At 47.8% G+C, this 21,235-nt stretch overlaps 2 protein-coding genes and 1 long non-coding RNA gene across 5 annotated transcripts in view, besides 8 other annotated features; 1 reads left to right on the forward strand and 2 right to left on the reverse strand.

Moving 5' to 3' along the window:
• The window catches only part of LINC03036 (long intergenic non-protein coding RNA 3036), a 245,028-nt gene extending 237,319 nt beyond the window's left edge, over nucleotides 1–7,709 (reverse strand). For 2 of the 3 annotated variants that reach the window (NR_186540.1, NR_186542.1), the window contains exons 1-2: nucleotides 7,483–7,709; nucleotides 3,935–3,998 (exon numbers count right to left, since the gene is read on the reverse strand). This is a non-coding gene — a long non-coding RNA (long intergenic non-protein coding RNA 3036). Of the gene's footprint in view, nucleotides 1–3,922; nucleotides 3,999–7,482 lie in introns of all 3 variants that reach the window. The other variant, NR_186541.1, reaches the window with a different exon arrangement.
• Nucleotides 445–1,087: an enhancer, noted in NCBI's record as "OCT4-NANOG-H3K27ac-H3K4me1 hESC enhancer chr10:120781819-120782461 (GRCh37/hg19 assembly coordinates)". NCBI's record gives its function as "activates a minimal SCP1, AML or CMV promoter by ChIP-STARR-seq in primed H9 embryonic stem cells {active_cell/tissue: H9 hESC(primed)}" and the evidence as "EXISTENCE:reporter gene assay evidence [ECO:0000049][PMID:30033119]".
• Nucleotides 1,088–1,730: an enhancer, noted in NCBI's record as "OCT4-NANOG-H3K27ac-H3K4me1 hESC enhancer chr10:120782462-120783104 (GRCh37/hg19 assembly coordinates)". NCBI's record gives its function as "activates a minimal SCP1, AML or CMV promoter by ChIP-STARR-seq in primed H9 embryonic stem cells {active_cell/tissue: H9 hESC(primed)}" and the evidence as "EXISTENCE:reporter gene assay evidence [ECO:0000049][PMID:30033119]".
• Nucleotides 2,916–3,489: an enhancer, noted in NCBI's record as "H3K27ac-H3K4me1 hESC enhancer chr10:120784290-120784863 (GRCh37/hg19 assembly coordinates)". NCBI's record gives its function as "activates a minimal SCP1, AML or CMV promoter by ChIP-STARR-seq in primed H9 embryonic stem cells {active_cell/tissue: H9 hESC(primed)}" and the evidence as "EXISTENCE:reporter gene assay evidence [ECO:0000049][PMID:30033119]".
• Nucleotides 7,129–7,629: an enhancer, noted in NCBI's record as "H3K4me1 hESC enhancer chr10:120788503-120789003 (GRCh37/hg19 assembly coordinates)". NCBI's record gives its function as "activates a minimal SCP1, AML or CMV promoter by ChIP-STARR-seq in naive H9 embryonic stem cells {active_cell/tissue: H9 hESC(naive)}" and the evidence as "EXISTENCE:reporter gene assay evidence [ECO:0000049][PMID:30033119]".
• Nucleotides 7,129–7,923: a biological region, named in NCBI's record as "H3K4me1 hESC enhancer GRCh37_chr10:120788503-120789003".
• Nucleotides 7,454–7,923: a silencer, noted in NCBI's record as "silent region_2864". NCBI's record gives its function as "represses an Ori minimal core promoter by ATAC-STARR-seq in GM12878 lymphoblastoid cells {active_cell/tissue: GM12878}" and the evidence as "EXISTENCE:reporter gene assay evidence [ECO:0000049][PMID:35858748]".
• Nucleotides 7,852–11,868, forward strand: NANOS1 (nanos C2HC-type zinc finger 1). Its single transcript, NM_199461.4, has one exon. It carries the CDS (start codon nucleotides 7,940–7,942, stop codon nucleotides 8,816–8,818), a length of 879 nt encoding a protein of 292 aa, NP_955631.1. The 5' UTR covers nucleotides 7,852–7,939; the 3' UTR covers nucleotides 8,819–11,868.
• Nucleotides 8,044–8,253: a silencer, noted in NCBI's record as "silent region_2865". NCBI's record gives its function as "represses an Ori minimal core promoter by ATAC-STARR-seq in GM12878 lymphoblastoid cells {active_cell/tissue: GM12878}" and the evidence as "EXISTENCE:reporter gene assay evidence [ECO:0000049][PMID:35858748]".
• Nucleotides 8,624–8,923: a silencer, noted in NCBI's record as "silent region_2866". NCBI's record gives its function as "represses an Ori minimal core promoter by ATAC-STARR-seq in GM12878 lymphoblastoid cells {active_cell/tissue: GM12878}" and the evidence as "EXISTENCE:reporter gene assay evidence [ECO:0000049][PMID:35858748]".
• EIF3A (eukaryotic translation initiation factor 3 subunit A) overlaps nucleotides 11,808–21,235 on the reverse strand; it is a 47,148-nt gene continuing 37,720 nt past the window's right edge. The window contains exons 19-22 of the mRNA NM_003750.4: nucleotides 20,132–20,910; nucleotides 16,376–16,577; nucleotides 15,257–15,447; nucleotides 11,808–14,406 (exon numbers count right to left, since the gene is read on the reverse strand). Of these exons, the coding sequence (NP_003741.1) occupies nucleotides 14,177–14,406; nucleotides 15,257–15,447; nucleotides 16,376–16,577; nucleotides 20,132–20,910 (1,402 nt within the window). The 3' untranslated portion in view covers nucleotides 11,808–14,176. The remainder of the gene's footprint in view (nucleotides 14,407–15,256; nucleotides 15,448–16,375; nucleotides 16,578–20,131; nucleotides 20,911–21,235) is intronic.

Below are 21,235 nucleotides of genomic sequence, written 5' to 3' on the forward strand. Positions count from 1 at the left end.
CGAGGCTACTCAATTTATACAGAGCTTGGATCCTCCATCCGCTCCCTGGGGCCCACCTGCCTTCTGGTCACTAAGCCGTAGAAGCCTGAAGACAGACACAACTGTGGAGAGGCAGCTCCGAGCACACAAAATCCCTGGAGAACTCAGGACGGCTGGGAGAGGATCAGTGCAAATCAGATAAGACCAGAAGAAGATGGCTAAAATGACTTGAGCAATCTTTAAAATGTTAGTCCCGGCCCAGCGAGGTGGCTCACGCCTGTAATCCCAGCACTTTGGGAGGGTGAGGCGGGCGGACTGCTTGAGCCCAGGAGTTCTAGACCAACCTGAGCAACATGGCAAAACCCCATCTCTACTAAAAATATGAAAATTAGCCAGGCGTGGTGGTGCATGCCTGTAGTCCCAGCTACTCAGGAGGCTGAGACAGAAGAATCGCTTGAACCCAGGAGGCAGAGGTTGCAGTGAGCCAAGCTCGTGCCACTGCATTCCAGCCTGGGCGACAGAGCAAGACTGTCTCAAAAATAAAGTTAAATGTTAGTCCCAAGGGGCAGCTGATCCACCAGTAACAACCAGGGCAGAACTGTGCCCAGCACCTGATCAGCTGAATTCAGGAGACTCTCCACCTGAAGCTTCAGAATGGGGAAACAAGAAAAGGGGTACTAATGTCAAACTTGAGGCCCGCCTTCAAGAAGCTCAGCATTTCACACCTCGGCCAGAGCCAAAGCTTTGGGCTTTGAGCAAATTAGGAAAAGACACTTCTTCCACAAGGTATCTTTTTCCATCTGTCAGTGAAGTGTCATAATATACTGATTTCGTTAGAAGATACTTTACTCAAGGTCGGCCAGAAAATGATCACAGAGTTACTATGTCTATGAAGTAAAGGTGCCCCCTTAGATGGGAAGCGGTTGTGCAGTACACAACCTGCAGAACTGTACACAACCTGCAGAACCACACATAGCATTCTTTGCTTGGCAGTCTGGTCCCATCCTTTCCACAGCCCTCATATCCCCGCTTCCCCTCCCTCTGCCTAGAGCCCTCAGACCTGTTGGAGAACAGTCTCAATCTACAGGTTACCATTTTACATGTAACTCCTTCCTGTCAGCTTTTTACTTCCCTCCCCCTGCAGACAGCAGGGATTGACGACGGGTGAGAGAAGGCTGATGGCCCCATTTAGGGAAGCACAGGAGGAGGTGGGGAGGCCGGATGTAGTGAATTCCAAATGAATGAGTATCCACGGGCCAGGGGATGATCAAGGAGGTGTGAGGGTTAACAGTGCGGGCCTTGAAGAAATGCCACCTACCAGCTAGCTGTGAGCTGCTGGGCATGCTTTTAGCCTCCCAAAACCTCATTTTCCCTTTTGTGAAATGCTTATCATTGTAGGCCTGCTGGGAGGATTTCAGAAATGATATGAGTGAATGCTTAGTGCACGGTAAGGGCTCAGCACCTGTGAGCTACTGTTATTGCTATTATCAGCATCATCAGCCCAGGGACATCTGCCCTTCCGCCTGTCAGCCTCCAGGCAGCTCCTGCTTTAAACAAAATTGGGACACTCCAGATTTCTAAAAGAAAACCACATGGCAGGGAGGAGGGCAAGTGCTGGAGGGAGAAAGGATTACTCACTTTACCAAAGTACCCACTACTGGATAAACAGAAACACCCAGACTGCTTTTAAATGGGGTTGGTTTTGTTCAGGGGACATTGCTGACACGGACTGGAATGTGTCCTCTCCTGCCCCTGCCGCTGTGTGTTGCTGGCCAGTCTCCCGCACATCTGGACCCCAGAAGTCCCAAGAATGACCGGGTGCATCCAAGGAGGCACAAACCCAGGTTCGGGGAGTGAGAGAAAAATGGGTGCAAATCTCAGTCCTGCTGCTCCTGAGCTTCTCAGCCTTGGGCTCCATGCTGAGCTTTGCCCCCGTCTCCAACAGGTCACCAGCGCACCTGCCTTGCGGGGCAGGGTTGGGGGTGGGGGGCACATGGAATAGTGCATGTCAAGCACCTGGTGCTGATGGTGGTGGTATTATTACCAGCTGGGAGACTTTAGCCCAAGGCAGGGGGTGTGAGATGACACCACGGCACCCGTTTCCCATTCTCCGCATCCCCTTCCAGCCTTGTCCACACACAGAGAATTCTGACATGGTCGTCACCTCCACCTGGCCAGAATATGGTAGCCTACCTTTTCGACAGAATAACCAAATGTATTTTTTTTCACAGTATTACATGTTTCATTTAGAACAAGGGTGTCCAATGTTTTGGCTTCCCTGGACCGCAATGGAAGAACTGTCTTGGACCACACATAAAACACACTAATGACAGCTGAAGGGCTTAATTAAAAAAGGTCTGTGCATAATCTCATAATGTTTTAAGAAAGTTTACAAATTTGTATTGGGCCGCATTCAAAGCTGTCCTGGGCCACATGAGGCCACCTGGCCACAGGTTGGACAAGCTTGATTAAGAATGAAGTCAACTGCACGTATAAAAGGATACCTGGACGTGGTGTGGTGGCTCACGTCTGTAATCCCAGCACTTTGGGAGGCCAAGGCAGGTGGATCACCTGAGGTCAGGAGTTCAAGACCAGCCTGGCTAACATGGTGAAACCCTGTCTCTACTAAAAATACAAAAATTAGCTGGGCATCGTGGTGCATGCCTGTAATCCCAGCCACTCGGGAGGCTGGGGCACCAGAATCGCTTGAACCTGGGAGGTGGAGGTTGCAGTGAGCCGAGATCATGCCACTGCACTCCAGCCTGGGTGACAGAGTGAGACACTGTTTCAAATAAATAAATAAATAAAAGGATACCTGACTTGAAGTGGCTGAAATAATAGAGATGTTATAATTATCTCGTGTAACAAGTCACCAAGTCATCAACAAAAATATCACTAAGGTTTGTTTTTTGTTTTAACTTTTCTGGTAAGCCATCACCTTGCGCCAGCTTTGTGTCCTTAAGCCTTATCACCTCAGCTCTATAGCCTGAGCTGAAGAAGGTGAGGGCCCTGGTTCTTTATTTCTTCCCCCTTTTTATATAAGGAAGCAAACCCCTTCCCAGTATCCTCCCAGCAGACAGCAGATGTCCGCTGAGATCTCCAGGGTGAGAATGGGTCACCAGCCCTCCCCTTACCCAGTGGTGACTAGGGGAAATGGGATGTTTCTGCTTAAACCTGTCACAGTTATGCCCCGAGGCTGAGGGAAGGAATCAGAACAAAGTTAAGTCTGCAAGGAGGGGGAGTGGCTGCCATTTTACTCGACAAGAGCCCTTCACTGACCAAAAGCAGCATCTGGGGCCCAGAGAGGTTAAGCCCCTTGTCCACTACACGTGACTTTGCACCAGCGCCAGGGTGCAAACCCTGTCCCGAGGCCCAGTAAGCTCTCCCCACTTCACCATATGGCTTCTCCACAACAGCAGACCCTAAGCCCAAGCCCCCCAAAGGGCAGGAGCCCCATCCCAGGACTCTCTGAGCTTGACAGAGCCATGATGTGGACAAAGTCAGCCAGGAGAGGGCTCCTCGTGCCCAAATGCACCTCACCCACCTCCAGGCCCATGGCTGACGGAGCCAAAGCACCTCCTGTCCCTGGCAAAGTCCTGGCAGGGGGTCAGCGGGAACCCAGAACCTGACAAACAGCATCGCTATAGCCGCCTGGACCCCGGCCAAGCTGCCTCATTCCCCAGGGCTGACCTCATGTTTCTGAAGAGCCTCAGGAGCCTGAGGTCTGTGAGCTGCCTCACAGGGTTCAGTTCTGCTGCCAGCAAAGGAAATGGCCCGGGCTGGGGGCCATGTGGAGAGGTGGGAGCACAGAACCCAGGCACCCTCCCCACCACCCACCCCTGCCCTGCCAGAGCCCTCAGCCTGTGCCAGGCAGGCCCCACTGCCCCACTCCAGAAGAAACCAAGCAGCACCCTCTAACTTCTGAGGTGTAGCCCATGCCCACCTGTCTTCTCACCTCTGCCGGATACCTGAAGAAACGTTCACAGACTGGCTGTTTCCATCTGTTTCATTCCAGACTCCTGGAAAGTGAGCAAAAGGCAGTGAGACTTCATCAGAGGTGCTAAGAACATCTCTGAAATCGTGCCAACACCTCAAAGAGCTAGAGAGCTCACAGCCAGGCTGAGGCCTGTTGCTGGGTGACAAAAGTCACTGTTTATTTAACCCAGAGCTGGGCCAGGTGCCCACACTGGCCTTTCTATGGTCACTGAGAGCAAAGGCTCCCAGGGTACTGAGGCCCAGCGTGTGCTCCACGACAAAAGCCTTCATGCACTTGGCCTCCACTTCCCGACTTCCCTTCTGGGTCAAATGTCTACTCACCTCGTATAGCAGTCAAGGGGAGCAGCCTGGGGAAACAGCCCATGGCGGACCCCAAGACACACTCATTTCTCCACCTCCTTCTGGGGCATCTCCATCCCAGCTCCACTTCCCACATACCCAGGCTGCAGGTCCCAGCCAAGGTGTTTGTTCCTATTCTTATCCCTTAAAAGTTTTTATTCTCCCCGTACAACCACAAGGGCCGAAAACCATGTTGGGAGGCAAGAAGGCTTCCGCTTCTGTGCCATCGCCTCTCTGGCCTGACCAAGGGGGATCAGACACAGCAGCTGGCAATTTTAAACTTTTCCTGCCAAAGTTATTCTCAGAACTGTGGCTCCCCATCTTCAGAGCTTGAAAAGTCTGCATGTCTTGAAAGGATGCAGGCTGCAGGGCTGTGTGAACCGAGCGGAATTTTCCATTCATAGAATAATCATCTTCATACCACTCTGGGGGGCTGGCGTTCTCGTGGTAAAAGCTCCGAGTTCAGGGTCAGCAAACCTGCCAGGCGTCTGCAGGAGCCCTGCGGCATGGAGGTTCTTTTATTTATTTTTGGTGGAGAAGGGGAGGAAATAAAGGAATGACTTTCTACCTTGCATGCCAACACAAACTTGGAAAAGGATCTGGGTTGGCAAGTGCTGAATATTACTGCCTGGTTTCATGACTTACATCAACCATCGGGGGCTAGAAGGAAGAGGCCGAAACATGGATCTTTAACCCCTAACCCAGAGAGGCGGCCAGAACAGGCCTCACTTCACTGCTTCAGGTCCTTTCCCGCGCCTGCCAGCCAGAGCCCTGGATTGCTCTTTGAGGGCAGGGGCCCCAGCCAAGGCCATATCGCCTCACCTCACCTCACTTCTTTCCAGCTTCCCCTGTGTTGTGCCTTAGAGTTCTGCGGATGCATGCACAGACTTATTGTCTGAGATACCTTGCTGGTCCAGGGTGTAGTGAGAAGGCCACCCGGCCGGGAGTAACAGGACCAGAGTCTTAGTTCTGTCACATAGTCACTGTAGCCTTAAAGAAGTCCTGCTTGGCTGGGTGCGGTGGCTCACACCTATAATCCCAGCATTTTGGGAGGCCAAGGTAGGCAAATCACCTGAGGTCAGGAGTTTGAGACCAGCCAATACGGTGAAACCCCATCACTATTAAAAATACAAAAATTAGGTAGGCATGGTGGCACATGCCTCTAAACCCAGCTACTCAGGAGGCTGAGGCAGGAGAATCGCTTAAACTCAGGAGGCAGAGATTGCAGTGAGCCTAGATCGTGCCATCGCACTCCAGTCTGGGCGACAGAGTGAGACTCTGTCTCAAAAAAAAAAAAAGAAATCCTACTCTTCTCTAGGTCTCATTTTCTTCATCTGTAAGGATTGGACAGAACTGGGTGCAGTGGCTCACATTTGCAATCCCAGCACTTTGTGAGGCCAAGACAGGAGGATCACTTGAGGCCAGGAGTTCAAGACCAGCCTGGGCAACATAGCGAGACCCCCATCTATTAAAAAAGAAAAGAAAAAGGCAAGAAAAGATCGAACAGAATGATCCCAAAGATCCCTTCCCATGCTGACATTCTGATTCCCTCATTCATTCATTCTAATATTAACCAATGCCAGCACTAGGTTCTGGGCATCCCCTGCTGAGCCATTCTAAACCTGCTGGGCACAGCCAAGACCTGTGAGTGTGGCCTCAGGCCTAGTGAGGGCTCATTGTTTCCACAGCCACTGCATGGTCCAGAGTGAGGAAGGAAAGCCCCATCTGCCCCATGAAGCCCACCCTGCCAGGGCCCACCTGCCAGGGGAGGCATTTTCCTGATCCCAGTTCTAGGTTTCATCCTAGAAGAGCCCTCAGTATCTAAAGCCTTTCCTACTTTCAATTTTTAAAAAAGTTGGGAAGTGTAAGACCACCTGCCATCTTCCTAATCAAAACTCATCTTCTGGCTCTTATTCTCCATGGCTTTTACACAACATGTTTTATTCATTTCAAAGTATTTAATTATAATGTTGAGGCCAGGTGTGGTGGCTCATGTCTGTAATCCCAGCACTTTGGGAGGCCAAGGCAGGAAGATCGCTTGAGGCCAGGTGTTCAAGACCAGCCTAGGCAACATAGTGAGACCCTGTCTCAAGAAAAAAAAAAAAGAAAAAAGAAAAATCAAGAAGAAAAAAGAAAGAGTGAGAAAGAAAGAAAGAGGCCAGACGCGGTGGCTCACGCCTGTAACACCAACACTTTGGGAGGCCAAGGCAGGCGGATCGCGAGGTCTGGAGTTCAAGACAAGCCTGGCCAACATAGTGAAACCCCGTCTCTACTAAAATACAAAAAATTAGCCCGGCATGGTGGCGGGCATCTGTAATCCCAGCTGCTTGGAAGGCTGAGGCAGGAGAATTGCTTGAACCCGGGATGCGGAAAGAAAAGAAAAAAAAAGAAAGAAAAGGAAGGAGGGAAAGAAGGAAGGAAGGAAGGAAGGAAAGAAGGAAGGAAAGAAGGAAGGAAGGAAGGAAGGAAGGAAGGAAGGAAGGAAGGAAGGAAGGAAGGAAGGAAGACAAAATATAACATTGAATACACGTTGTTTTTCAAACTGCACATACAACCCACATTTTGACTCAGGCCTCTGGGGCGAGGGGGTACACACACACACACACATCCCAGTCACTGTCCTAGGCTCTCCAGCCATGAGATTTTCCGGCCCAGCCCCAACCCCGACCTAAGTAACCGGCTATCGGCCACCCATTGGCTGAAGTCCCTGAGCACCTGTTGGGAGGAAGGCTGCTGCGTGCAGCCGGAAAGTCCTGCGTCCCTCCGCTCTTACCGCGGCAGGAACCACAGCCTCCCCGAACCTCAGGGTTTGTATGGATTTCGCCCAGGGGAAAGCGCTCCAACGCGCGGTGCAAACGGAAGCCACTGGCTGGTTGGGCGGCTGTGATGGGAGAGCTGCATCCTTCCAACGCGTCCAGCTTTTCATGCTGATGTTGGTGAGAAGGGGGTGGATAGCGGGGATTCTCAGGATTAGGGCCTAGGGCCATTAAAGGCTGGGAGGTGGGGGCGTAAACCTGTGGCCACCCTGACCCCTGTCCTCGGGGGGCCTCACCACCAGGCCGAGGAGACCCAGGCCTGGTCACCTGCTCCAAGCCCAGGCCCGGCGCTCGAATGCGGGCCCCAGCGGCCCTCCCTTCCCGGCCCTTCTCTCCCCTACTTTCTCCTCACCTCCCAGCTGCGCGGAGAACACGCCCCCTCCCCGTGTTCCCACCAATCAGCGTCCGGAGCGGCGCCCGAGGCGCCGGGGGGCTCTGGTCTGCAGCCAATGAGCGCCACGGCTCGAGGCGGCGCCTCGCCCGCCCCCTCCCGGAATGAAGGCCGCCCGACAGCTGGCGAGGCTGGCGCAGCGCGCGGGGCGCGGGAGCCGCGCGGGCTGGAGCGGAGCGCGCACACAGCCAGCCCGCCTCCGCTCCGCCTCCGTCCGGGGCGCGGGCGAGGTGGCCGGGGCGGGGGAACGCAGGGGGCAGGGCCGCGGCGGCGAGGCCGGGGGGCGGGGAGGAGTGGGCCCGATAAAAGGCGGCGCGGCGGCCCCACCCCGCGGCAGGCCGGCGGGCAGGCTCGGCGTGTCCCTTCCGTCCGGCCCGCGCCGGCGGCGGGGAGGCGGCGCGCGGCCCGCAGCCCGCCCATGGAGGCTTTCCCCTGGGCGCCCCGCTCGCCCCGCCGCGGCCGCGCCCCCCCGCCCATGGCGCTCGTGCCCAGCGCCCGCTACGTGAGCGCCCCGGGCCCGGCGCACCCGCAGCCCTTCAGCTCCTGGAACGACTACCTGGGGCTCGCCACGCTCATCACCAAAGCGGTGGACGGCGAGCCGCGCTTCGGCTGCGCCCGCGGTGGGAACGGCGGCGGCGGCTCCCCGCCCTCCTCCTCCTCGTCGTCCTGCTGCTCCCCCCACACGGGGGCCGGGCCTGGGGCGCTGGGGCCGGCGCTGGGGCCGCCCGACTACGACGAGGACGACGACGACGACAGCGACGAGCCGGGGTCCCGGGGCCGCTACCTGGGGAGCGCGCTGGAATTGCGCGCGCTGGAGCTGTGCGCGGGCCCCGCCGAGGCCGGGCTGCTGGAGGAGCGCTTCGCCGAGCTGAGCCCGTTCGCGGGTCGTGCCGCCGCCGTGCTGCTGGGCTGCGCGCCCGCCGCCGCCGCCGCCGCCACCACCACCAGCGAGGCGACGCCGCGCGAGGAGCGGGCCCCGGCGTGGGCGGCCGAGCCCCGGCTGCACGCGGCCTCCGGGGCGGCGGCCGCCCGGCTGCTGAAGCCCGAGCTGCAGGTGTGCGTGTTCTGCCGGAACAACAAGGAGGCGATGGCGCTCTACACCACCCATATCCTCAAGGGCCCCGACGGGCGAGTGCTGTGTCCCGTGCTGCGCCGCTACACGTGTCCCCTGTGCGGCGCCAGCGGCGACAACGCGCACACCATCAAGTACTGCCCGCTCTCCAAAGTGCCGCCGCCGCCCGCCCGCCCGCCGCCCCGCAGCGCCAGGGACGGCCCGCCTGGCAAGAAGCTGCGCTGAAGGCCCGGGCTCCCGGCCGCCCAGGGTCGCCGCCGCCCCTCGCACCGCTAGGTCTGCGCACCATCTCGCCCCCGCCGTGGGGAGGCGTGCGGCTCAGCGGTCGGCTCGACATGGGACGTCGTCCTGGTGGTTTTTGAAAAGCAGCCGACCGTGTGGAGTACTTCCGTGCTGAACGATTGGGACTAGACGCTGAAATCCCCATTTGTCTTCAGTTTCTAGTTTGCACATCCAGAACGGCGAAGGCTGGGTGTGTATTCCACTAACTGAAATATGGCAACTTAGAGGCGCTGTTTATTTACTGTATACGTCGACCTATTTTAGATGCGCATCAGTATGAAATTGTCTCAATCTTGGATGTTTCATTTTATGAATGGAGGCACTTTACTAGGTCTAGAATATTTTTTTAAAAGCCTCTGAACTGAGCTTAAAACTGGCGATTTTATGAAATGTCGGCAAAATGACTATTTTATTGTTTGAAGCGAGTTAATATTCTCAGTTGTCTTTAAAAATCAGTTACTCTAATTCCAGGTGAAGCAAGCCGCTGGTAGCATCACCCTTATGAGAAGTGAAGGTTTTGTAAACTTTCCAGTATTAATTTGGGCGGGTATTCCCCGCTTGTGGCTTGTTTCTGTCCTAGCTGGAGGTGTAAAATGCACAATGTGTAGCAGGTAGAATACAGCTCCTTATCGTTCTATGTACCAGGTATTTTATTACTGAACTAGCAACTAGCCTTTTCCACCTTTAAAAGTTGTGCCAAGTCATAATCATATTGTGTATAACTTGGAAATGGTGCTGTTTAAAAAAATTGTGTATTTATACAGTAACAGTATGAATTCATTAATCTCACCTGTAACTTTCCTACTTGGCATTTTCTCTACACACTCACCCTCTTCCAGTTCTTTAAAAACGTTTATGATATTAAGATCAAAGGGAGGAAGGGAAGACAGCAGTATTAATTCACCCTAGATTACTCAATTTCAGGGTTCCTAGTGGAGGAAAGCCCATTCCAGCTGTTGCCTGTCAAACAAATAGAAGATGGATCTCTAGCTCTGAGCTATTCGTGTATTAACTCGTATTCAAGAAGGTTCCACCGTGGGCTGCGTCTGACTTTAATACAGGCAGTGCTCAAACTAGAATAAGCACTAATTAAAGGAATTGTTGGGGGTCCTTCATGTGTTCCCACTCCTACTGGAAGACCCATGTCGGTTTCCGGAACCCCACCAGTTTACCCATAAGCAAGACTAAACCTGATCCTTGGGCAAAAGTTCCTAACCCCTACTTTACCCTCCCACCCTCACTTTTAAATCCACCATACTGAATGCCACACTATGGAATGCAGCTACCTGCCAAGCAAGGCAATAGAAGGCAAAAAATGGAAGTGAATTAAGATGAACTCATCTGAAATACACAAATGCATTACTATCTGAAGATACCAGCAAGAGTTTAGTCTACGTGTATAAGGCTCCCAGTAGGATTTAGCTAGGCTACTAGAAGTTAGACTGCTTTCGCATTAAACAGCTAACTTCATCCACAGCAAATTGACTCAATCAGGAACCTTCATTTGAAGGTGTGTTAGAGGATGGGGTAAATACCCGATAGCTGTCTTTTTGGTGAAAGAAAAGGTGCATTTCAAGAACTTGGGGGGCAGGAGGAAAGCACAATGTTTCTTAGCCAGGAAAGACAAATAATCCAACGCTGCTAGTCTTAACCCCAGACCAGAGAGAACTGCAGATCTGACTGGGCCTAAATTAAGTAGCTTAATGAAACCATGTAATTACTTGTTCTCCTTTCTTTTGCTATAGAAAATCTACCAGTTTAAATGAGCTTCACCTTCTGGGTGAAGTTTCTAAGGTCAACATGAATCCTCTTACCTCTCTCACTGCTCGTGTTCTGCCTTTTCAAAAGGACCACTATGAACAGATCAGCGCATTCTCTAGGCCAAAAGGGCTAGCCAGGTGGCAAGATCAATTTAGCTACTTTGTATTTTCAGAGTCAAATTACAGACGGTTTCCAAAGGTCTTGAGCATGGGGCTTTGGCATAGCCTCAATATATGGGAGTCACTGTGATGAGATGTGCCTAATGTTAATTTGATATTCTGACATTGCTATTTTACCAGAACTAAGAACATATTGAGCTGGAGCTTCTTGAGGGCAGGAGAGTATTGGAAAAGGAATCCAGAAGACCCTCTCCACTACTCAGGCAGCCACTATTCATCTATTTTTAAAGTACCCCATTTTCAGGCCGGGTGTGGTGGCTCATGCCTGTAATCCCAGCACTTTGGGAGGCGAGGCGGGGGTGGATCACAAGGTCAGGAGACCAGCCTGGCCAACATGGCGAAGCCCCGTCTCTACTAAAAATACAAAAATTAGCCGGGTGGTGTGGTGGGCGCCTGTAATCCCAGCTCCTCAGGAGGCTGAGGCAGGAGAATTGCTTGAAACCAGGAGGCGGAGGTTGCAGTGAGCCCAGATCACGCCACTGCACTCCAGCCTGAGCAACAGAGCGACTCTGTCTCCAAAAAAGAAAAAAAGTACCCCATGTTCAGCCCCTGTGCCAAATTTGCCTAGGTTTTCCAGCTGACAATGAATACTGGGAGTTAAAACGCAGAGTATTACTATAGTTAATTTTCTAGGGTTCTCTTATGAAAAGTATATGTAAACACATTCATTTAAAAATCCTTGGAACTCAATGTGGAACTTTAAACATTTTGCAAAATTACATTTAGAGAAACCCAATTTTTCAAAGTTTAAGAAATATACAAAGTATGACAAAATTATCTTCATAAGAACATGCTGCATACTTGCCTAGTAGCAAAACAATACAGGGAAGAGTCAAAAGGGCTTCTCCAACTGTAGAGGTACAGATTGTCTTAACCTGTTCTTTTCTGTACAGACTTAAAATTTCTAGTGGCTTTTATTTTTCTTTGTATTTTAATTTTCCTACAAAGTCCTTTTTGGAAGTTGCAGAATTATTAGCTTTGATGAGAACAACTTTTGTCATAGATTTGATTTATTAAACCAAAATTATACATATTAAAATTATATCACAAATATATATGCTTCCAGACAAAGAAAAGTTTGTTAGTCCTGATTTTCTAATCGTAGCCACTCAAGGAACAGTCCTTTCATAGTACCCCAAGTATTTCAATTAGACTTATAAAAGTATAAGTCAATCTATGGTCAGTGTCTTTGGTTAAAAAAAAAAAAAAACACAGGCAGTTCTTTACATAAAAACGTCCCACACGTTATAGATGCCAGCCACCTCCTGGTAGTCACTATGGACAACTAATGAGATGCAAAGTCTTTTGGACCGATGATGTCTCTACTACTGGATCTATCTGTATTAACAGCAATGTTACTCTCAATGAAACTGCAGAAGCCACCATGAACATGGAAGACCACCTAGCAGATCGGTGAGTAGGCTGCTTGTTCAGCTTTCCTTTAACACCTGTTGGTAAATACTAATGGGAGTAGACAGAGTTGTATGGCCTGGACAGTGGAAACCAAGAGCAGGATCGCAAAGTAACAGCATCAGACTCTTCTGCCCTCCTCTTGCACTTGGGTTCTGACTCCCAGAACAAAGAACTTGGGAGAACAGTACGGGAGACTGAGCAGAAAGGATGGGTTTGCTGACTCGCCTTGAAATCTAACTCTAACGTAGGCAGCAGTAACTCGTCTGAACAAATCTGATTAAATAAATTCTTGGGGCTTACCTGTGATGTCACACATACAGATCTACTCTCCAGGAAGCAAACTCTTAGCAAGTTACTGCCCCACTTGTAATCACTGATCTGAAATTCTCTTGTTATGAAAGAAAAGTCCTTCTCCCCACGAAAGACCTTTAAAGACTTCTACGTATTTGAAATACCAGATACTAAGGTGTTTAAAATGATTTCTATCATTGGTAACATCAAACAAAAATAGCTGCATCTGGTTAAGTTAAAAAGCATCAATACTCCCTCTTCTGGCCCTACAGCTGTACCAATAGGAATTCTCACCACTACTCAATAACAGAAATAAGTGCCTACAGCCATGATGAATTTGTAACATTTTCTCAAATTAACTACGATTTTTCTAATTTCAGGTGAAAACCCAAGGTGGTACTTCAAACACGCACATGCACACACAAACTCAGAGGACAGCGTTACAAGGAAACTAAGGAATTCCTGCATTAACAAAGGAAGACATGTTAGGGGGACATCCTAGCCACATATGCTTTCTTTGTTATATTTAGGTTCATTTTCATTGATACTAAACACAGACATTTAATGGCACTGATAAAAATTCAAGTAAAAAAAACTCAACTGAATATGCAAACTTACCATTATAAACAAAATACTATAACCACAAATCAACACTAAAACAAATTCTGTAAGTATTTTATTTATCACTGAAGAAAAAACACAGCAGCAAGTTCTGTGTTGGCTTCAATGAGACCAAATAGTTCATCTTTAACATAGCTACTGCGCTCCAAAATTGAAGTCAACACAGTCATTACTACAAATTACTTGTTGAAAGAATCTATCTTCAAAAGAAAGAAAATTAGGAAAGAGAATTTAAACGATTCCTCCAAACCATACATTTATAAATATTGTCATATTTAAAATGCTTGAAAGGCATGAATTCTCCATTAATGGAAAAGCAGTTTGCTATTGGCAACAGAAAAAAACTCAGCGATAATTTACCAAATGCTTTAAAATTTAAAAGCTATACTGTTTGGATTCACACTTGCGCAGTAATCTTGTCATTACAACAACTGCAAATTGCTTTGTACTCACCTTCTCTCAAGTAAAATCTAAAGAAAACCCCACCGTATCCAATGTTTGTAATGTTTACTTCAAGTGAATCTAAAAAATTTCTAAATTTAGTTTATGGTAAATACCTCAAAATACCTAAAATAGGTACGTATCAACCACTTAAGGGTGTGAAAATTGTTTCAGATTCACTGCTTTAAAGGGTCTTCAAATATATTTTAACAGAACCTTACTTCATTCCAAATTATTATCAGATATTTCAAAATCAAAAAAAAAGTATCAGTTCTATACCAAGATAAAGGTGTTACTCAATACCTGAAGGGTCACATTTTAAATTTATTTTTTAGTTTTTCTTTTTTGTCAACAAATGATTGATGAAATAATGCAACACCCTTAAATTCCAGAAAATGGCATGGTTTTTCCAACCTCCTGTGGATATGGTGCATGATCAATCTATTATATAGGATTAATACAAGTTCATGCTTTTTGTGTTATGGTGAAACAACATTAAAGAATCCAATTTAGATTGGTTGAAGCACAAGTATAATAATCCTTGAATGTGATCAAACCTATTTAAGACACCAGTTTAAATCCATTATCTTGAGACTTAACGTCGTACTGTGGTCCATCCATCTTCATCAGTCTCATTTTTAGTACGACGGAGAGATTCCCTATCTTTCTCAGCTCTCCATGAGGCCTTCTCTTTTTCACCTTCTCTTTCTCGGTCTCGGTCTCTTTCTCGGTCTCTTGAAAGAGCTGGGGGAGGAACTCGACGAGGAGGGTCCCGCTCTTCCACCCGGTCATCTTTCCTGTCATCAGCACGTCTCCAAGAACTTACTAAAAAGTTTAATTAAAAAAAAAAAATTAAGTTAGTACTATATTCTATTGGCTCAAATTACTCAAAATTCCTGTACTAAAGATTGTTAAATACAGAAATCATTGTTAAATACAGAAATTCTGTTAAATTCTGTATTGTTAAATACAGAAATCATAATGAAAGCTCATACAATTTCTGACAATCTTTAACATACAAATGTACAGATAAAACTCAAAATCTGAAAACAGGCAGAAACCACTAGCCTGGGAAGGACTACAGTTAGTATAAACCCGTAAGACAAGGTGGCAAAAATCTGGCTGAATGAAAATTTTATAACTGAAAGGATTTTTGGCTCTTGAAGAATTTTAACAGCAAATTAACCATACAAAATACAGGAGTTTTTAAAGTTATGGCTATGAGAGAAAAATTCTCTCATAACAGGATGTCAAGACATATGGAAAATTAATTTTTAAAAACCAAGAGAAAAATGAGGATTTTAAAAATGAAAAATACATATATTTTAAAACAGAATAAACTTCTGTTACAATTTCAGAGAAAATGTTTCTACTTTGTGCTTAATCTGCCAGGAAGCTGCTTTTAAATAACAATTTTTTTCATTTTTATTAAGTAAACTTTATATATATTGCCTGCTATCCAATTTAGTCTACTACTGTACTTTGAATTTAGAGATAAGTGCACTTTACAACATGACCATTGAGTAACTGTATGAAAATCATGAATTCTAAATAGAATATCAACTCTCTTATTGTTGGCCTTCATACAAATTTATGATATAATTAAATAACCCAAATCCCCCCCCCCCCAGAAACGACAGTTCTCCAATACTTCAGTTGTATGTAACCTCTATACCTTCTTCACGTTCTGATCTGAGTGGAGGTCCTCTTCGGTCCCTGTCGTCTCTTAGATCTCGTCTTTCTCTTAGATCACGCCGGTCATCCCTCTCACGGCGACGGTCATCCCTATCCCTATCGTCCCGGCGACTTGAGTCTCTCCAGCTTGAAGATTCCTCAGCTGGTCCTCTTCTCCAGCCACCTTCATCCCTGTAGCCATTTACAATGACAGGTCAGGTTCTTACTGTTAGACCAAATGGATAATTATAAGTACATCCAGTCCAAGCTGGGGCTTAGAGTTTACAAATATAACAGACAGTTTAAACTCATAACCTGACCTTACCTGATGCCTGGGGCGTGGAGAACAAATGAGAACACCCAGATCTGTGCCGTCCCACTCGTTAGCCACTACCCATATGTGGTTACTTACATTTAAAGTAAAACGGAGATATTTCCTTAGGACCATCAACCATATATTCTAAGTGCTTGGCTGCCAAATGTGACTGCTGACTACCATACTGGCCAGCAGACACATTTTCTTCCTTGAAGAAAATTGCATCGAACACTGCTGGTCTACATTTGTCAGTACAAGGACACTTTGGCAGCGGGAACAAGCTAGAACTTCTACTACTAATAAAATCAAAGGGCTTTTGATAATTTAAGGGCAAGAAAACTGACTGCCCTAAACCACAGGGGTAAAAGCAACGGACTGACAAAGATGGCTGGACTGGTTCCAATGCCCAACGGGTCACACAGCCTTTGGACAGCCACGAAGTTTGGGCCTCCATTTTCTTACTTTAAGAGGGAATTTTTTTTTTTTTTTTTTTTTTTTTTGAGACGGAGTTTTGCTCTTGTTGCCCAGGCTGGAGTGCAATGGCGCTATCTCGGCTCACCACAACCTCTGCCTCCCGGGTTCAAGCAATTCTCCTGCCTCAGCCTCCTGAGTAGCTGGGATTACAGGCATGCGCCACCACGCCCGGCTAATTTTGTATTTTTTAGTAGAGATGGGGTTTCACTATGTTGGCCAGGCTGCTCTCGAACTCCTGAACTCAGGTGATCCGCCCTCCCAAAGTGCTGGGATTACAGGCATGAGCCACTGCGCCCGGCCTCTACAAATAATTTAATTAGAGCATCACACCTAGGTCTTCTGAAGCGATCCTCTCGATCCACATCTCTCTCTCTGTCCCTTTCTCTCTCAGGGTCCTTGTCATTCTCCTCCCGATCTTGATTATCTCTGTCCCTTTCTTTTTCTCTGTCCCATTCACGTTCTTCTGATGGCCTTGATTCTCGAGGTGGACCCCAGCTCTCCTCTCTGGCTTTTTCTTTCTCTCTCCATCCACCTGTTTTTTTGAAAAAGCAAAACATTTTTAAAATATTTTTAAAAGAAGAAACAGATTGGCAATCATGAATAGACGTTGGCATTAATTCATCATCATTCTAAATGCTAATTTAAGACACTGATTAAAAAAATACTAAAGCTGTGTACATCACTGCACAGACATCATTAACAGTATCTTAAACTTATATGAGAAACTTAAAATGGGCCGGGCATGGTGGCTCACACCTGTAATCCCAGCACTTTTGGAGACCGAGCCAGGTGGATCACTTAAGGTCAGGAATTCGAGACCAGCCTGGCCAACATGGTAATAACCCTGTTGCTACTAAAACTACAATTAGCCAGGTGTGGTGGTGCGCCTGTAGTCCTAGCTACTTGACTTAGGAGGCTGAGGCATGAGAACTGCTTGAACCTGGGAGGCAGAGGCTGCAGTGAGCCAAGATAGTGCCACTGTACTCCAGCCTGGATGACAGAATGAGACTGTCTCAAAAAACAAACAGGAAAAGAAAAAAAAATACCAAAAACCTTAAATGATCTGTGTTAAGTGTTCCATAAAACAAAAGTATCACTGAAAATTTTAGAATTTTTCCTATTGCACGCAGATTTCAGCATAGTATCTGTTCTGATGTTACACAGATCACTCATTTAAGCAGAAACTTCAAGAGTTTTCTCTGAGTCCCAATTTTGAGGTATTTATACCTTGCAACGTTTTCAAGCCCTTCATATCCAAAAAACAATCTTTCCTTTTATATTCCTGTCCTCCACCATTTGCCACCCATTATCTAGTCATTAATCATGAATAAATCCTTTAACCCTGCACAGTGGCTCACACTTATGCATGGAATATATGAATCTAGGAACATTTTATATACAGTACATATAGAGATGTAAATTTGCTGGTGACCTCACTGTTTAAAATGGCCTCCAAGTGTAGTGCTAAAATGCTGTCTAGTGGCCAGGCGTGGTGGCTCATGCCTGTAATCTCAGGAATTTGGGAGGCTGAGGAGGGTGGATCCCTGGAGCCCAGGAGTTCAAGACCAGCCTGGGCAACATGGCAAAACCACATCTCTACAAAAAAATACAAAAATTAGCTGGGCTTGGTGGTGTGCACCTATAGTCTACTACTCAGGAGGCTGATGTGGTAGGATCTCTTGAGCCCAGGAGGCAGAGGTTGCGGTGATCTGAGATCACGCCACTGCACTCCAGCCTGGGAGACAGTGAGGCCCCACCTCAAAAAGAGAAAAAACAAATGCTGTTTAGTGGCCCCAAGCACAAGGTGGCTATGATATGCCTTAAGGAGAAAATACATGTATTAGATAAGCTTTGTTCATGAATGAGTTATAATGCTGTTGACCATGAATTCAATGGTAATGAATCAACAACATATCAGAAATAGGGAGTCTTTAAACACAAACACATAAAAGACATTTTATGTATTGATTGGTTGACAAAAATATCATGACTAGAAGCTTACAAGAACCTAACCTTGTATTTACCCTAGGAACATGAGTTCAGTATTCATGGCAACTGTATAAAATATAATTAGCAAATTAGTAAGAATCTGCTATACTGTTACCCCATTTAACATGAGGAAAAGAAAAATTAAATGTCTTACACAAGGTAACAGCCGAACAGCAGAATGAAGTGAGACTAGAAGAGACGAAGTAGGCAACAGAAACAACTGGGGAAAGCAAGGAAGCAGCTCACTTAGATCTGCACTTACAACAACTGCTCTGGTTATTTCCCTGACACCCAAAATTAAAACTGGGAGTAAGAGAGGCAGCAAAAACCAGTTAGCGGGTGAGGAAAATGATGCTGACCCAGGACCAAGTACAAGCAATGGGAATGGAGAGGAGGGTGGATTTCAGGAACATCAAAAAGGCAGAACTGAACTAAAGATTTAACATAAAGGATGAAACAGAGACAAAACAACTCCCAGAATCCTAGCTCAGACAGTTAGATGGACAGTGATGCCCCTGAAGAGAATCAGAGGGATGGGTGGGCGTGAACAAGTGCACGTGTATGTGATGGTAATGAGTCCAGTTTTGGATAGGCTGTGTTAGACATTCAGTAAGACTACCAAGTGGAGATGTGCTATATGCAGTAAGCAGCTGTCACCTGTGTGCAGTACGCAGAAATTACCTAGAGAAAACTGGCCGGGGCAGTGGCTCACGCCTGTAATCCTAGCACTTTGGGAGGCCGAGGTGGGTGGATCACTTGAGGTCAGGAGTTCGAGAGCAGCCTGGCCAACATGGTGAAACCCCATCTCTATTAAAAATACAAAAAAATGGCCGGGCGTGGTGGCTCATGCCTGTAATCCCAGCACTTTGGGAGGCTGAGGCAGGCGGATCAAGAGGTCAGGAGATCGAGACCATCCTGGCTACCATGGTGAAACCCCATCTCTACTAAAAATACAAAAAATTAGCCAGGCATAGTGGTAGGCACCTGTTGTCCCAGCTACTCAGGAGGCTGAGGCAGGAGAAGGGCATGAACCTGGGAGGCAGAACTTGCAGTGAGGGGAGATCGCGCCACTGCACTCCAGCCAGATGACAGAGCGAGACTCCGTCTCCAAAAAAAAAAAAAAAAAAAAAAATTAGCCATGCATGGTGGCATGTGCCTGTAGTCCCAGCTACTTGGGAAGCTGAGGCAGGAGAATTGCTTGAACCTGGGAGGCAGAGGTTGCAGTGAGCTGAGATCATACCACTGCACTCCAGCCTGGGAGACAGAGCAAGACTCCACCTCAAAAAGAAAAAAAATGGTAATAGACGCATGTCACAAACATGTATACAACTGCTCACGAATAATAAAGTGTGAAACAATAAGCAGGCCCAGGACTAAGAAAAAAAATGAGGCTGGGCGCAGCGCCTCACACCCGTTATCCCAGCACTTCACTTTGGGAGGGAGAGGCAGAAGGATAACTTGGGCCCAGGAGTTTGAGACCAGCCTGGGCAACATAGCGAAACCCCGTCTCTCCAAAAAATAAAATATTAGCAGGGTGTGGTGGCATGCGCCTGTAGTCCTAGCTACTCAGAAGGCTGAAGTGGGAGGCTCCCTAGGGTCCGGGAGGTCAAGGTTGCAGTGAGCCATGACTGCACCACTGCATTCCAGCCTGTGCAACAGAGCAAGACCCTGTCTCAAAAAAAGTAAAGTAAAATGAGTTCCTCCTTGCATAATCTCTCAGTTGGCAAAAATAAATATATAAAGTACATTTTGGTTTCAATTATTTATTTTTAAAAGGAGGCTGGTTCCCAGTAAAACCTGAAAAATACACCAATACTGAAAGCATGAGTACAGGAAGAGCCTTCAAAGAAGCAGTCATCGAAGCAGAAGGAAAACAAAGAGCACATCACTAAAGAAGAGAGGGGTTGGGTTATTTATGTTTTGGATGGTGGTATTCTGAAGGCAAACTTTTGACAGCGAAGTCACTGCAAATGATACTGAAGGAAAGATGAAAGACCAGTTTATCTGGAAAATAACAATACAGCCCTGATATTTATCCATCAGAATTTCACTTTTACAGGTGAACACTTAAGCATATTCTAGGAAATAGAATTTTACCTGGCTTGACTAATGGTCTCCAAGGACCAGGTCTTGAGTCATCACCCCGTCTGGGAAACCGATCATCATCAGCACGTCTTGAAAGGCGATCATCATCCATGTTTCTCCAAGGGCCCCTGTCATCCTCTGCACCACGCCTGGGAATTCTGTCATCATCGGCGTTCCTCCAAGGTCCTCGATCATCATCCAACCCTCGCCTGGGACCCCGGTCATCATCCATGCCTCGCCTGGGACCCCGGTCATCATCCATGCCTCGCCTGGGACCCCGGTCATCATCCATGCCTCGCCTGGGACCCCGATCATCATCCAACCCTCGCCTGGGACCCCGGTCATCATCAGCATTACGCCAGGATGATCGCTCATCATCAGCGCCTCCTCGCCTCGGCCCCCGGTCATCATCCATCCCACGTCTTGGTCCTCTGTCCTCATCAGCTGTTCGCCAGCTTCCTCTGTCCTCATCCAGTCCTCGTCTAGGTGGTCTGTCATCATCCGCATGACGCCAGTTTCCCCTGTCTTCATCGGCAATTCGTCTGGGAGGCCTGTCATCATCTGTGTTACGCCAGGAAGGCCGGTCATCGTCTGCCCCACGACGAGAGAACCTATCTTCCTCAGGACCACGTCTAGGGCCTCTGTCATCATCCATGCCACGCCGGGGAACCCGATCATCGTCTGGTCTAAGAGAGGGCTCTCTATCTTCATCATCCCCCAGACGCCGGGGCCGCTCTTCATCTCTTCTATGAGACCTGTCCTCATCTCGCCCTTCTCCACGTCTCCACTCCCTACACAGCAACAAGAACAATTAAAAATATATAAAATAAAAAAGCATATGATCCTTTGGGGATTTTTTTTTTCACATGCTTTTTAAAAACTTCAGTATGGGCCGGAGCAGTGGCTCGCACCTTTAATCCCAGCACTCTGGGAAGCAGAGGCAGGCAGATCACCTGAGGTCAGGAGTTCAAGACCAGCCTGGCCTGGCAAAACCCATCTCTACTTAATTGTAAGACATGCGGCTGGGCACAGTCGCTCACACCTGTAATCCCAGCACTTTGGAAGGCCAAGGCGGGAGGATTGCTTGAGCCCAGGAGTTTGAGACTAGCCTGGGCA

This window comes from Homo sapiens, chromosome 10, assembly GCF_000001405.40.
Source record: "Homo sapiens chromosome 10, GRCh38.p14 Primary Assembly".
NCBI classification, from domain to species: domain Eukaryota; kingdom Metazoa; phylum Chordata; class Mammalia; order Primates; family Hominidae; genus Homo; species Homo sapiens.